Source organism: Homo sapiens, chromosome 4, assembly GCF_000001405.40.
Source record: "Homo sapiens chromosome 4, GRCh38.p14 Primary Assembly".
Taxonomy (NCBI): Eukaryota; Metazoa; Chordata; class Mammalia; order Primates; family Hominidae; genus Homo; species Homo sapiens.
This window is the reverse complement of record NC_000004.12, coordinates 37,429,474-37,442,753: the sequence shown is the minus strand read 5'-3', so window position 1 is coordinate 37,442,753 and position 13,280 is coordinate 37,429,474. Positions and strand designations below refer to the sequence as shown.

At 37.7% G+C, this 13,280-nt stretch overlaps 1 protein-coding gene across 1 annotated transcript in view, besides 2 other annotated features; it reads right to left on the bottom strand.

The window, feature by feature from the left end:
* NWD2 (NACHT and WD repeat domain containing 2) overlaps positions 1–13,280 on the bottom strand; it is a 204,721-nt gene that overhangs the window by 6,710 nt on the left and 184,731 nt on the right. The window contains exons 4-6 of the mRNA NM_001144990.2: positions 11,979–12,182; positions 8,734–8,878; positions 3,364–3,953 (exon numbers count right to left, since the gene is read on the bottom strand). Coding sequence (NP_001138462.1) covers positions 3,364–3,953; positions 8,734–8,878; positions 11,979–12,182 — 939 coding nt within the window. The remainder of the gene's footprint in view (positions 1–3,363; positions 3,954–8,733; positions 8,879–11,978; positions 12,183–13,280) is intronic.
* Positions 382–1,581: an enhancer, noted in NCBI's record as "BRD4-independent group 4 enhancer chr4:37442795-37443994 (GRCh37/hg19 assembly coordinates)". NCBI's record gives its function as "activates an origin of replication core promoter dependent on BRD2, P300/CBP, MED14 and CDK7 cofactors, and independent of BRD4, by STARR-seq in HCT116 cells {active_cell/tissue: HCT116}" and the evidence as "EXISTENCE:reporter gene assay evidence [ECO:0000049][PMID:35650434]".
* Positions 11,073–11,367: an enhancer, noted in NCBI's record as "tiled region #2247; HepG2 Activating DNase matched - State 5:Enh". NCBI's record gives its function as "activates a minimal TATA promoter and a strong SV40 promoter by Sharpr-MPRA in HepG2 cells {active_cell/tissue: HepG2}" and the evidence as "EXISTENCE:reporter gene assay evidence [ECO:0000049][PMID:27701403]".

Sequence of the window (13,280 nt, the reverse complement as noted above, 5' to 3'; positions counted from 1 at the left end):
ACTGAAATTACTTTGAATATAATCTTTTATGATTTAGAGATAATTTTATGGTGTTATAGGGTCATAATTTTGATTATTATTTATCTGTTATAAAATCCACAGAATGGTGGTTAAAAGAGCTTTGTTAAACGTTGTGCTTTGTAACAGATAGTTGATTTTATATACATGTAGCCATCAGTCCTCACATTATCTCTCTGAAGGGTAGATGAGATTACAGTGTCATTTAATAGGAGAGGAAACTGAGGCCCAAGCTGGATAAATGACTGCTCAGAGTTAAATGGTCACCAAGAGACAAAGCTGGAGTAGAAGTCATACCTGACTTTTCATTCTTTCATTTCTTAAATACTCTGTGGTGTTAAAGGATAAAATATGTGAGGAGCCCACTAAGTTTAGTCTTTCTGTTTTGAAAGGTCAATATAAGAAGAAATATGCCCAAGGCATAAAATACTCCAATGAGTATTTTTAGGAAAATAAAGTCTTTCAGTTATCCTTGGAATTTACCAAGGATATGCCTGAGATAAGGAAGAGTGATTTTACACATTAGGAGGTAAGTTTGTGAACTTTGCTTCCTCAGGAGAGATAGTTCAGGTTAAGGCATGAATAAAATTAGAAAGATTTATGGAGGTCAGTTTTATAAGGAGCTGTTAAGGAAAATAAACATTTCGTTGCTGTTGTTTAGCCTCAACCTTTGAAGCTGATTTCAAGGAAGATAATCTTGTCATTCAACAACTATCCTTTGGTGGTAAATCTGAAAACACCGGTTTGTTTCTACATTGATTGCTTATGATAACTACAGGCATCCTCCTCCGTCCTCCCAGTCACATGTTGCTGAACATGTGATGTCTGTAGAGAGCAGCCCTACCATCACGAGCTCATGGTCATGGAAATGCTGGGTGACACATGAGATAAAAATGAGATATCTATCTGCATCCTCAAAGGGACATGAGGTCACAGGACGGTACAGGTTGTTGTTGACGGTGAGTCAGACATTCCCCAGGAGAAAGGTAAGTGAAGCGCAGGCAGAGGACCTAAAAAGAGGCACAGTTTCTTGGAGGACCCGACTCCTGGATAGTCAATAGACAGACTCAGGCTATTGGACAAAATATCTAGAAGAGCAAGAGCTCAGAAAGCTGTTCCTTAAACTGACCAACTCTGAACAGTTACCACACTCTGCCTCACTGGGACTGCTTATCTGTGCAGGGAATCAGCACATCCCACATAAGTCTTGACCTCTTGTGCTAGAGCATGTGGAGGTGCATCACATGAACCTTTGACTTAGTCAAATTGAACGATATTTGTTTCCTCCAGCGGCCTGTATGCTCCTTTCCTCCACAAGGAAAAGGGCCCTAGGGTGATTACAAAATGGCATATGTGAATGTTTACTCATTTGGTTTCAGTTCTCAGGTGCCCCTCATGGTGTTACTATCTTGCTTACTTGGAATAATTCTAAAGTTTGAAGATACACATACAAATTCCTGTTCAAAGGCACATAAACATATGCATACACAATTTATGCAATGCAATGTGGACCCTAAATACAAGCCTGCTACTTCATCTGGTGCTTAATTAAAGAAAAAGCTATATCTTCTAACATAAGCAGAAAACCCAGCTGGGCTTGATAGATTAAGAAAAAGCAAATTAGACTTCCTATGGACTTTTCAAAGGTAAATGGAATATACCTGATTTCACCTATGGGCTTACTTTGGAACCTAATCCTCACATACAGTGTAATGCAACTGTCTCTGTTCTTGTCTTCAAGAGGACCAATTTGAGATTATGTAGCACATGACAGGTTATGAGAATATTCGTGAACTTAAAGAAAGTCCTGTTCTTAAGAGAGTCACCATGGGAAGAATAACACAGAGCTTCAGAATTAACACCATAATAAAATAAACCACCACACTTTGACACTAAGGGAAGAGGAGGTTAAAAATAATGGAACTAGTTTCATCCTGTTTAGGCTGAAGAGCCAACTCAGCAGATACCACATTCCAAAGTGAGGTTCCAGACCATCATGCAGGACTTGAAAGGGAGGTTCTGAAAACCAGTTTTGCTACTGTTAACAGATTACCCGCTGCTAGTCTGAAAAAGAAGACTGGAGAGGCAGGGAAAAATGGTGGGGATCAGGGTGCTGCGGGTTGTTTCTCTCACCTCCCCCTCCCTAGAAGGAGGTCAGAGAGATGCCTGTCCTTGACTTCCAGCCAAGAGGAAGGGACTTTAGTGGACCACCTATAGAATGCCCCCTACAGCTTGGGGATACAGGCATCTGGTACCTAGTGACATCTGGAAACCATGAAGGCTGAGTGACTGAGGCTGCCTAGCTGCTGTGATGGAGAAGTGAGACAGAGCTACAGGGCTGGGACTGGCCCAGAGGTCTAGAGTTCCTCAGGGCAAAACAATACCTGAGTGTTTCCCATGTGCTACATGTGGACGGCAGGCTACAGTGAGCTGACAAGGGTTTCTGTTTGCTTTTCGCAGGTCCTGTCTAAGGAGTGTGCTGGGATGTAGACAGGATCTTAGCAGAAAGGTACTGGAAGCACATTGCTGGATGTCTAGGAGCTGAGGAAGTAACCAGCTAGAAAAAAGATGCATTCCCCTGTGTCTAGGCAACTGTAGGTAAGAGATGCTCAGGGAAGATAGGGCAGAGGTACGGGAGGGGAAGGACCTCCAGGAAGCCATGAAAAGGCCTCCAAAGAGATGGGAGGCAGCTTTAAACATGTGCTAAGAACAGAGAGTTCACAGTCCAGTTCAGAACAGCACTGGTTACGTAATAACTTTCTGGCCACCTTACCTTTCCCATATCCCCTAAACTGTGACTTTATAGGAATCATAAATGTCATTGGGATTAGGAAAGGAGAGAAAGAAGTGCCACGTGGAAAAAGAAAGAAGATCCCCATTTCCCACTGTAGGTGCCTTGTTTATGAGAGGCCCCAGATGGGGAAGAAAGGTGTAGACTGATATTTTCATTTTTACCTTAGCCTGGACATACTCATTACTGAACGGAGACTGATTTAGCAGACTGGAGTGACCAGAGGGCTTGTCCTTGTCTGAAAGGAATGAGAACAGTTATTGAGATTGGCCTGGGTTTTCATCCAAATGGGGTGAGGGATGGGAACTAGCCCACAACATGAGTCTGAACAGTGAAAGAAAAAAATAAACTTGCTTTCCAGTTGTACCCCATGAGTTTTGCTCTCTCAATATAACTGTTATACCAGCAAAAAAGAAGCACTGCAGTATTCACTCCTAAAAGACCAACTATAATTCACATAGTAAACTCAGAAAGTAGAAATGAATTTGATTAATTTACCATTTTCCAAAAGTACAAGTTTTTACAAATATACACGGGAAAGAATAGGCTTTTACCTTCTTTGCTACTTCAGCTAGCAGAAGGGTCTTCCCAGTGCATGGCCCACCATATATAATAAGAGGGTTGATGTGTCCAGCTTTGCTTGGAAGAATGTAGTTATGCACTATGTTTAGAGATTCACATTTGTACTCATAGAAGGAGGCGTATGTTTTACATAATGATGAATGTTGAAGGATTTCATCATAGAGTGTATCAGTTTCAGTGTCAAAATTCTGTTGTATCGTTGCCTGAATTATATCAATCATGTCCTCATAAAATTGTTTACCAAGTCCTTCGATGTAATGATTTTCTATTTCTTGGGAGTAGCCTAGTTTCATGTCACAATGAGTAACAGATGTGTACACTCTCAGATTAGATGATGCAACAATAGTAGGAATAAATTCATCCCTGAGTTTTATCAGCTTCTCTTGGGCTTCTGGGTCCCGAATAATCCTCGGTTCTGTTCCAGTTATATCCATGTATTTTCCCATCTCTGGGATTTTCACAAAGCGCTCAATGTTAGCAATTTTCCTAATGTAGCAAACACACTTCTTTAGAAATGCTGGAGTTTGTTTTCCCAGAGCAAAGTCAAACTCATCCTCTATAGCTGAAAGAAAATATAAGAAGGAGTTTATTGCTTAGAACAAAGGAGCAACACACCCACATTCTCAATAGTCAACACTTAGTCATTAGTGGTAAATTATTTTGCTTATGGTTTGTAGCGAAGTAATCTTTAGAATAATTTCTTGATTTCCTATTTGTCTTTTCCTAATCAGCCAGCAACCCGGGAGAACAGGTTTTACATAAAATTATCTAATTTTCTCCCCAAGTTTAGGAAGAGGTTGGACATAAGCATAATAAAGAAAGCATATCAAAGTTATAGTGGATATTTCTAATATCTACTATTTCTAATTGCTGCTCAGTTTTCCTCTCAGACTTCAGAGGTTCTAAGAGGGAACAGCAGGGACCCATCTGGGCCAGGAAAGAAAGAGGAGGAGGCTGAAGGATGTAACTAGTTAACCGTTTCTTGTCAGTCTTTCCTTAACAAAGTGACCTCACCATTTTGTTTGAGGTATATTGAGTCCTAGTCAGATATGATCAAATATCAATATAAAAGCAAATTTTTTTTTCTTTTTTTTTTTTTGTTTAGACGGAGTCTCGCTCTGTCGCCCAGGCTGGAGTGCAGTGGCGCAATCTCGGCTCACTGCAAGCTCCGCCTCCTGGGTTCACACCATTCTCCTGCCTCAGCCTCCCAAGTAGCTGGGACTACAGGCACCCGCCACCATGCCCGGCTAATTTTTTGTATTTTTAGTAGAGATGGGGTTTCACCGTGTTAGCCAGGATGGTCTCTTTCTCCTGACCTTGTGATCCACCTGCCTCAGCCTCCCAAAGTGCTGGGATTACAGGTGTGAGCCACCACGCCCAGCCCAAAAGCACATTTTAAGGCAAAATATAATTATATTCTGATGACTGATCAATCTGGGTGATCTATGTCACTGTTATAATATCCATCAGAACAAGTACAGAAAAAGTGACTTAGTATATAACTTCATTTCTTCTAACATATACCGTATTATGGCTTACAATACATATGCTTGCACACAAGTACATATATATTATAAATAATTTGTGTCCCCATAAGAAAATTTTAAACTGGGTCAGTAGTAATGAAAACATCATTGTGCAGGGAAAAATTAAAAATATGTAAAATAAGCTAATGGAAATGAATGACAAAGCAAGTATTCTTAAAATTGGCTGCTCTTCCTTTCTTCCTCCTTCACCATCCCTTTCCTTCATGTAATTGCTCTTCATTGAACACCTTTTATATTCCAGGCACGATGACAGCCGCTTAGGATACAATGGTGAGAGAAAACAGAACATTGAGAAAAATAATCCATTATGGAGCCCTATAAACTGAATGTTTGTGTCTCCCAGAAATTTATATGTTGAAACCTGATTAGGTTTCAGTGTGATAGTGTTAGGAGGTGGGGCGTTTGGGTAATTAGTTCATGAGGGCAGAGCCTTTATGAATGAAAGTCGTGTTCATATAAAAGAGATCTCAGAGAGTTCCCTTGCCCTCCTGCCCTGTGAGGACACAGCAAGAAGACAGCCATCTGTGAGCGGGAAGTTGGCCCTCATCAGCCACAGAATCTGCAGGTGCTTTGATCTCAGATTGTGAATTTCTGTCAGGGAGGCTCTGAATACACAGGGCTGGTCTGGCCATAAATTGAAAAAAATTACATGCTGGTCATAACTCCAATGTCAAGCAAAATCTAGAATATATATACATATATTCTGTAATGTAACTATTAAGAAGGGTGAGAATTTTATTTAAAAATGGTTCCTTTCGGTGGAACTCTTGTGATAATATTTTTTCAGTAATGAGAGCCTTTCAATGGAAATTTTCAACCTAAATGAAAAAGATATTTTCATAGCTACCAGTGCCTAGTAAGCTGTGTCATGAGCATCAGTACATTTTACAAATGGTTTTAATTGAGCAAGCTGGTTAAGGAAGCCAGTTAAAGGAGCTTATAAACATATGTCTACTATTCTTTTTAAGGAAGAGTAAGAACTTGTTATAATGTAGATAAGGGAAGATGCCAGAAATCTGGACATCATGAGCTACTACAGAAAGCAGCCTTGGACCCATCTCTTTTCTAGTCATCTGTGTAAAATGCTAGCAGGTTGGATTAACAGCTTGCTACATTCTGAGAGCATCATGAAGAGAAAGGAAGCGGTCAAACTGTAGTATCTATATATAATGCATTATAATCAGAGATATGCTCTGCCACCTTTGACTCCCAGAAAGCAATTCAACTATAACTTGACATTGTTATCACATTTATGAAAAGGATGTATCAAGCAGAAGTGTTGATCACAAATGGAGCAAAAAAAGAAATACAGATAAACTAATTTGGCAGAGCCCATCTAAGCTTGGCTCAGGGGGGATAAATGCTGTACACAGAATGCCTGGTATGGTATAGACTTAAATATACCTAAATAAATGAGAGCTATGATACAAAGGCAACTCTACAGAGTTATTTTTAGAGGCGAAGTGCATGCTTATGATTTTATGGGAATTTTATTCACAGTTTCTGATGCCTATCTATAAATATTATAAATTTTAGAATTTTAGGGCATTATTAGAATATTATATTTATTTTCTGTTTTTGCATGTTCCTTAATGTCCTGAAATTTAACCAGTGAGAGCATCCACTGAAGGTAATGGTGGAAATAGGTTTCCAGTCCTGGTAACTATTATCCATGAGAAATTAATTTCTTTACGATTCCCAAGGCCACTGAGTTTTGATGTTCTCAGAAGGGCACCATTTTAGAGTCTAATTTATTTCTCGTCCTCTCCTGTTGTTTAAAAAGGTGAAACTAGAAGTGTGAAAAATTACATTCAAACATAAACAATACACCTTTAACAGGTTCTATCCAGTATTCTTATTTCAAGATTTCTAAAAATATAATATATACTATATCCATTTGAAAGAGTTGGCACGTCAGCAATTTTGATTGTGCAGACATGATCTTAAAAGGAGTTTGAACGTAAAATAAGTAAAATTGTCATGAGCATGTATATCTTCAGGAGATATAACCCCAAGCAGAAAACACTCCACTTGTAGTGGCTCACATGAAATTTCTCATCTTCACATGGCTATCTATGTGGACACAGTTCTTCACTGTGTGGGGAAAGCTAGGACAAGTGTTTGCCAGGGAAATAACCAAACACTGGAGCTGTGCGATTGTAAATAAGAGGATGACTTCCCCAGACTGGTGTTTTTTACATAAATAATAGGAAAGCTTCACTCCAGGTACTTTTTTCTAAGACAGCTCTTGAAGGAACAGGGTTGTTCTGTCTTTGATAAAGGTGAAGAGCCTGAGCCTCAAAGGTGGATCTAAAGGTTCCAAAGGAACAAGGATATACCCTGATCTATATATTTAAATACAGTACTTATTCCTGACGATTGTGGTATTTTCAGGAAGACTTTAAATAAGACCTAATTTTTAAAAACAGCTTCCTTCTGGAATTTGTCAAAATGGTTTGTAACTTCTCTGAGCTTCACCCACATGGATCCAGTGAGAATGATTACCAAGTGCCTTTTAGGTTTTCACGAATGCTTTGCCGCACCATTTCAAAACCAATCTGAAAACGCAGCTATTATAGTTTTTCCCTTTATAAATTTTTACTATCAACTTTCAAAATAAATGCTACACATCTGACTACTTTTACTAGTTGTGTTTGTTCCCTGGAAACTATGACTGACATATTCCTTCAGTTCTGTAATTTCCTGAGCAACTTCTAATGATAAAGCTTCCTTTCCATGGCTGAGAAAGGCCAACAGGTGAGCCTCTGTACGCAGAATGCTTGGTATGGTATAGACTGAAGTATACCTGAATAACTGGGTGGGTTTTTATTTTAATGTTAAATTTGAGCCTACCAAATAGCTGGAGAGGTTTTTATTTTAATGCTAAATTAGATCCTACCAAATCCCTTGTGCCACACCCTCTGATGGCTTCCCATCTCGCCCAGAATAAAACACAAGCTTCCTATTATGGCCTGTGCCCAACTTCTATCCTCATCTCTCCCTCTCTGTAAAAGTTAAAAAAAAAAAAGAAAAAAAAAAAGTAAAGCTATCTTTTATTTTTCCTGCTCCTGGAATTAGCTAAGCACGTTCCTGTCTCAGAGATCTTAAATCTGTTGCTCCCTCTGCTGGGAATTCTCTACCTTAGATGCATATGGCACTGTCAGTTCTGATTTTCTTCCGTAATTCAGGTCCAAAGTCCTCTCCTTTTTGCCCACCTCATCTAAATCTGGATCCCCACATCCTTTATCAGTCACTATTATCCTATGACTGTGCTTTATTTTACTCATAATACTTATCAATCACTTTTGATACGATCTTGTTCATTTATTTGATTACTTGGCTATCATTTATGAATATATATTTTATGAATATTTTTCCTCCCTCTAAAAAAATAAGTTGCAGGAGGCCTGAGACCTTGTGTTTTTACTCAGTGTTGTCTCCCCAGTGCTTGGCACGTAGGAACTCAATAGATCCATTAATATTTGCTGGATAAGCGGGTAAGTGATGAATGAACAGCTCAACTGAGAAATCATGGCAGAATATGGTCAATTATATCCGGGGCCACCTCTGGCTTCTTTTAAAATCACATTTTCTAGAGAAGCCTTAGAGTTAAGGGAAGGCTTTTCTATAATTAAAACAAAAGAACATTTGCTTCTCCAGAACATGGGAACATTTAGAAAAATTAAATTTCACCAGGCAGTAAATGAGATTAAATTTGCAGGGCATTAAAGGGAAGCAGTAGATGTACCTATTAATGATATATTTCTTATTTTACTGAAGGTATGGGAAAATTACCTGAGAACAGGTACCTCTTAGCCTGGCTGTGTTTCATTTTACCCTTTTCGTGTAACAGCTTTACAGCAGCCTTAAATATCTTCTTGATCTCATCTGATATCTCTTGCCATGTCTTCTCGTTTTCAGCATTGGTAGAAGGCTGCATCTATAGAAATGTAAAAGGGAGAAATTAGTCTTACAATCATCAAAGAAAAATAATATTTAAGAACAAGAAAATTTCTATTATTTGAAGGCCTACTATGTGCCAATACTATGATAGGTGCTTTACAGACAGTGTCTAATTTAATCTCAATAACCCTGAAAGTTAGAAATTATTTCTGTGTTGCATGTGAACTTGACCAAGTTACACAAGGGTGTGATCCAAATACGGTGTGTTTGTCAGACTTTCTTATATACCATGCTTTTCCCTTTTGAGTTTTGATACAAATGCCATAAGAAAATAATCTCTGGTGTCCTCCAAAGCGGAGAGAAAGTTAAAGGGGAGGTGCTCTTATGTTATATCTAGTTGTCTTTATTTGTTTTAACTTCATTTGTTTTGATGGTCCACTGGGAGATAAAATGGGAGGACTGCCTACCAATAAAGTAACATTTATATAGTCTTGATAATCTTATTCACACATTCATTTATTCAATAATAATTTATGCAGAAATATCATGTGGGGTTTTAGGAATAATCTCAATTTCCCTAGTGGATCATAAAGATAAATGAAGAAACAATTAAAGCAAATTAAATAGTAACATATGAGAAAATCCCCCAGATCATGGTAGAAACTGGTTTCTTGGGGTATCAGGTTCTTTGCTATCTATATTTACTCCTGGCATCTTTAACTGGGAAATGGTTTGGGTTTACCCCAATATTCTCACCCAGAGAAGCAATATTGTTATAGATAATTACTTTGAATAATATATGTGAGGGAGAAGAAGAAAAATCAAGGATTCTGATATGATTTCCCATTGCACAGAGAAAATGTGTTATGTTGGATACCAGAATGACAAATACACAGATCCCGAAGTGGAGAACTGCGGATAACCCACAGCTGTGCTCTTGGAACTGCCTGGGTGCTGACTGAATCAAGGACATTCTCTTTGGCAGAGGGTTGGATATCCATGCCTTCTTTGCAATCTCCCTAAATATTCTACTCAATGAACAGGTCCACCTTTCCCCTCTTCCTTTTTCATTTGCTTTTAAAGGACCTATCATAAACTTGGGAGCCAAGTTGGAAAGTAGATAATAACGTTTCCATGATGCTCAAGCATGAATCAGTCTCATTCCATCACTCTCTATAAGATGCATGAATATAAATGAACTGTTTAAGATGTTAAAGAAAAAATATTAAGTTAAAATTTAAAAAGAGACTATAAATAATAGCTAGGTAGATTTTACAAAGGACTTCCTCCCACAGAAAACAAATGCACACATGAACCTTTCACAAAATAAAAACTATAACTGTCAAACTTGAAAACTCAATGTATAGACAGAATGAACACAGCTGAAGAAAAAAATTGGTGAACTGGAAAAATAATCTGAAGCTATCTTCTGGAAAGCAGCACAGAGATAAGAGAATTGATCATGTGAAACTGATCATGATTATGATGATGATATGATTATGATCAGTTTCACGTGATCAATTTTCTTGATTTTTTTTTTTTTTTTTTCTTCTTCACCCTCACATGTATTATTCAACGTAATTATCTGTATGAATATTGTTTCTCTGGGTGGGAATATTGGGGTAAACCTAACTGATCATGTGGAATGATCTATTTTCATTGATTATGTGAAAGAGAATTAGAAGCTGTAGAGGACAGATTGAGATGGCTGAAGGCAAATGTAATTAAGGAGCACAAGGAAAGAACAGAGGGAACAGAAGAGAGGCATTGTTTGATGAGAAGATGACTGAGAATTTTCTAGAATTAAGAGACTATATGAATTCACAGATACAGTAAGCATGACATATACCAATCAGAACAAATAGACACATTATAGAAAACTGGGCAAAACAATAATTTTTCAGAGAAGCAAAGGGAGCTTCATTAATGGAACTTTAACCAATTAATATTAAGAATTAATAATAAATTATTTCATTAAATTATTGTTTAATAATACCAATATTAATAAGTAAAAATCAGTATCACTAGTAAACCTTCATTGATGGAACTTATAAAAGGTATACTTCAGGAGGAAGGAAAATTAGCCTAGAAGGAAAGTCAGAGATGCTAAATGGAAAGGTGAGTGACAATTTATAGTTTCTTAGCTTTGGATTTAGTTTTTTTCATTAAATTTTAAAGGTGCACAATGTGATGTTTTGATCTATGTATATACTGTGAAATGGTGACCACAATCAAGCTAACTAACAAATCCACTACCTCACATAATTTCCTTTGTTTTGGTGGGTGGTAAGAACACTTGAGATCTGCTCTCTCAGCCAATTTCAGGTTTATAATTAACTATAGACACCATGAAAGTTTGTGACCTTTGACCAACATCTCTCTATTTCCTCTAAATCCCAGACCTTTGTAAATACACTTCTACTCTCTGTTACCATGAACTCAACGTTTTTAGATTCCATATGTAAGTGAGATCATATGGTATTTGTCTTTCTGGGCCTGGCTTAATTCACTTAGCATAATGTCCTCCAGGTTCATCCATGTTGCTGTAAATGGTAGGATTGCTTTCTTTTAAAAAGACTGAATAATATCACAGTATGTGTGTATATAAATGTTCCTTAATTTCCTTCTACATTTTCTTTATCTTTTCATTTGCTGACAGACACTTAGACTGTTTCCATATCTTGGCTATTGTGAACAATTCTGCAATGAACCTGGGAGTGTGGATATCTCTTCAAGACAGTGATTTTATTGCCTTTGGATATATACCCAGAAGTGGGTAGTTCTATTTTTAATTTTTTGAGGAACTGCTATACTGTTTCCCAGAGAGGCTGCCCGAATGTACAGTCCCACCAACAGTGTAACAGGGTTCCTTTTTCTTCGCATCCTCTCCAACTCCTATTATCTTTTGACTTTTTGATGGCCATCCTAACAGGTGTAAAGTGATATGGCATTGTGGTTTCATTTGTGTTTGCCTAAGGATCAGTGTGGATTTAGTTGTTAAAAGGAAAACCTGGGGCCTAGGGCAGAGTAACTTTCTGTCTACTCTGCCTTTTCTGTGCAGCACCACCCCGGATGACATAAATGGTAACAAATGTAGTAATGGACAGATCCATAGGCTTGAGGGAAAGGCAGCTTACTGCATTTCTATTGCTTCTCAGCATTTCTGACTTGGGTCTGAGGTAATAGGCTGCTGGCACCGAGTTCTCATCTCGACAGTACCACTCCTCCAGCAACTTGGTCTCCAGCTTTGCCTCTATGGCGGCATCCAAAATCATTTCAAACTCTGAGGCTTCAACTTCTCCAGGGATTCGGATATTCCCATATTTTTCACCTAATAGTCCCTGTGTATCAACAAGAAAGTTCAATTTAGTGTATCACCAAGAAAGTTCATTTTAGTATTCACATCACATGGTCACTGAATAAATATTAATCAATAGATAACAAGATACATTGCTCCATCAGTTTTCTCTTTTGGTCACAGTGGATAGTTGATTTCCTAAGTAAAATTAGATCAACTATATTACAACAAATTATTCATAGGCTGAGAAATGAGACTGCATATCACATCAGATGAATTCAAAATAGTTTTTGCAGCCAATTTACTTTCTCAAAGTTTACATAATACAACAAAAGCTGATCTACTCTGAGATTTGTTTGTTCATATCAAAGAAAAATGATGTGCTAGACCTTAAAAATGTCAAACATGTAAAGCCTCAAACCAAAGAACTGCTCTGTCAAGAACTGATAGCATAATTCTAAGCTTCAGATTCACACTGCTACAATAAAAAGAAGTATGACATCACTGAATGTGATACTACTAGTAACCCCACTGGCAACTGAAAAAAAAATTCAAAATTAAACAAGAGAGCATTTTCTCTCTATTAAATTGGCAAAAGAAACCTCTCACAGAAAAACAATGAACAAATATGTACTCAGCCTTTATGTCAAGGTGTGAGAAAATAACCATAGAGTGCTGATGGGCATGTAAAGTGATCTAGCATTTGAAGCCTAATCAGGCAATATGTATTCAGAGCCCTAAAAATCTATATAACTTTTTACTTGGCATTTTTTTCTTCTGGGAATTTGTCTTTAGAAAATAATTAAGGATGCAAATCAGGACTTACAAGAATATTTATGCTGAATTAGTTTCTTTGAAAGAATTGTGTAATAACCTAAATGTTCATTCAAAGGATGTACTAAATTGTATCATACAACTATATTGACTTAGAAAGATGTTTACAAGTATATGTTAAGTGAAAAGGGTAAGTTATAAAATGGTATACATAAGATGATTCCAGGCTGAGTGCGATGGCTCTTGCCTGTAATCCCAGCACTTTGGGAGGCTGAGGCGGGTGGATCACTTGAGGCCAGGAGCTCAAGACCAGCCTGTCCAACATGATGAAACCCCGTCTCTACTGAAAAGTATAAAAATTAGCCAG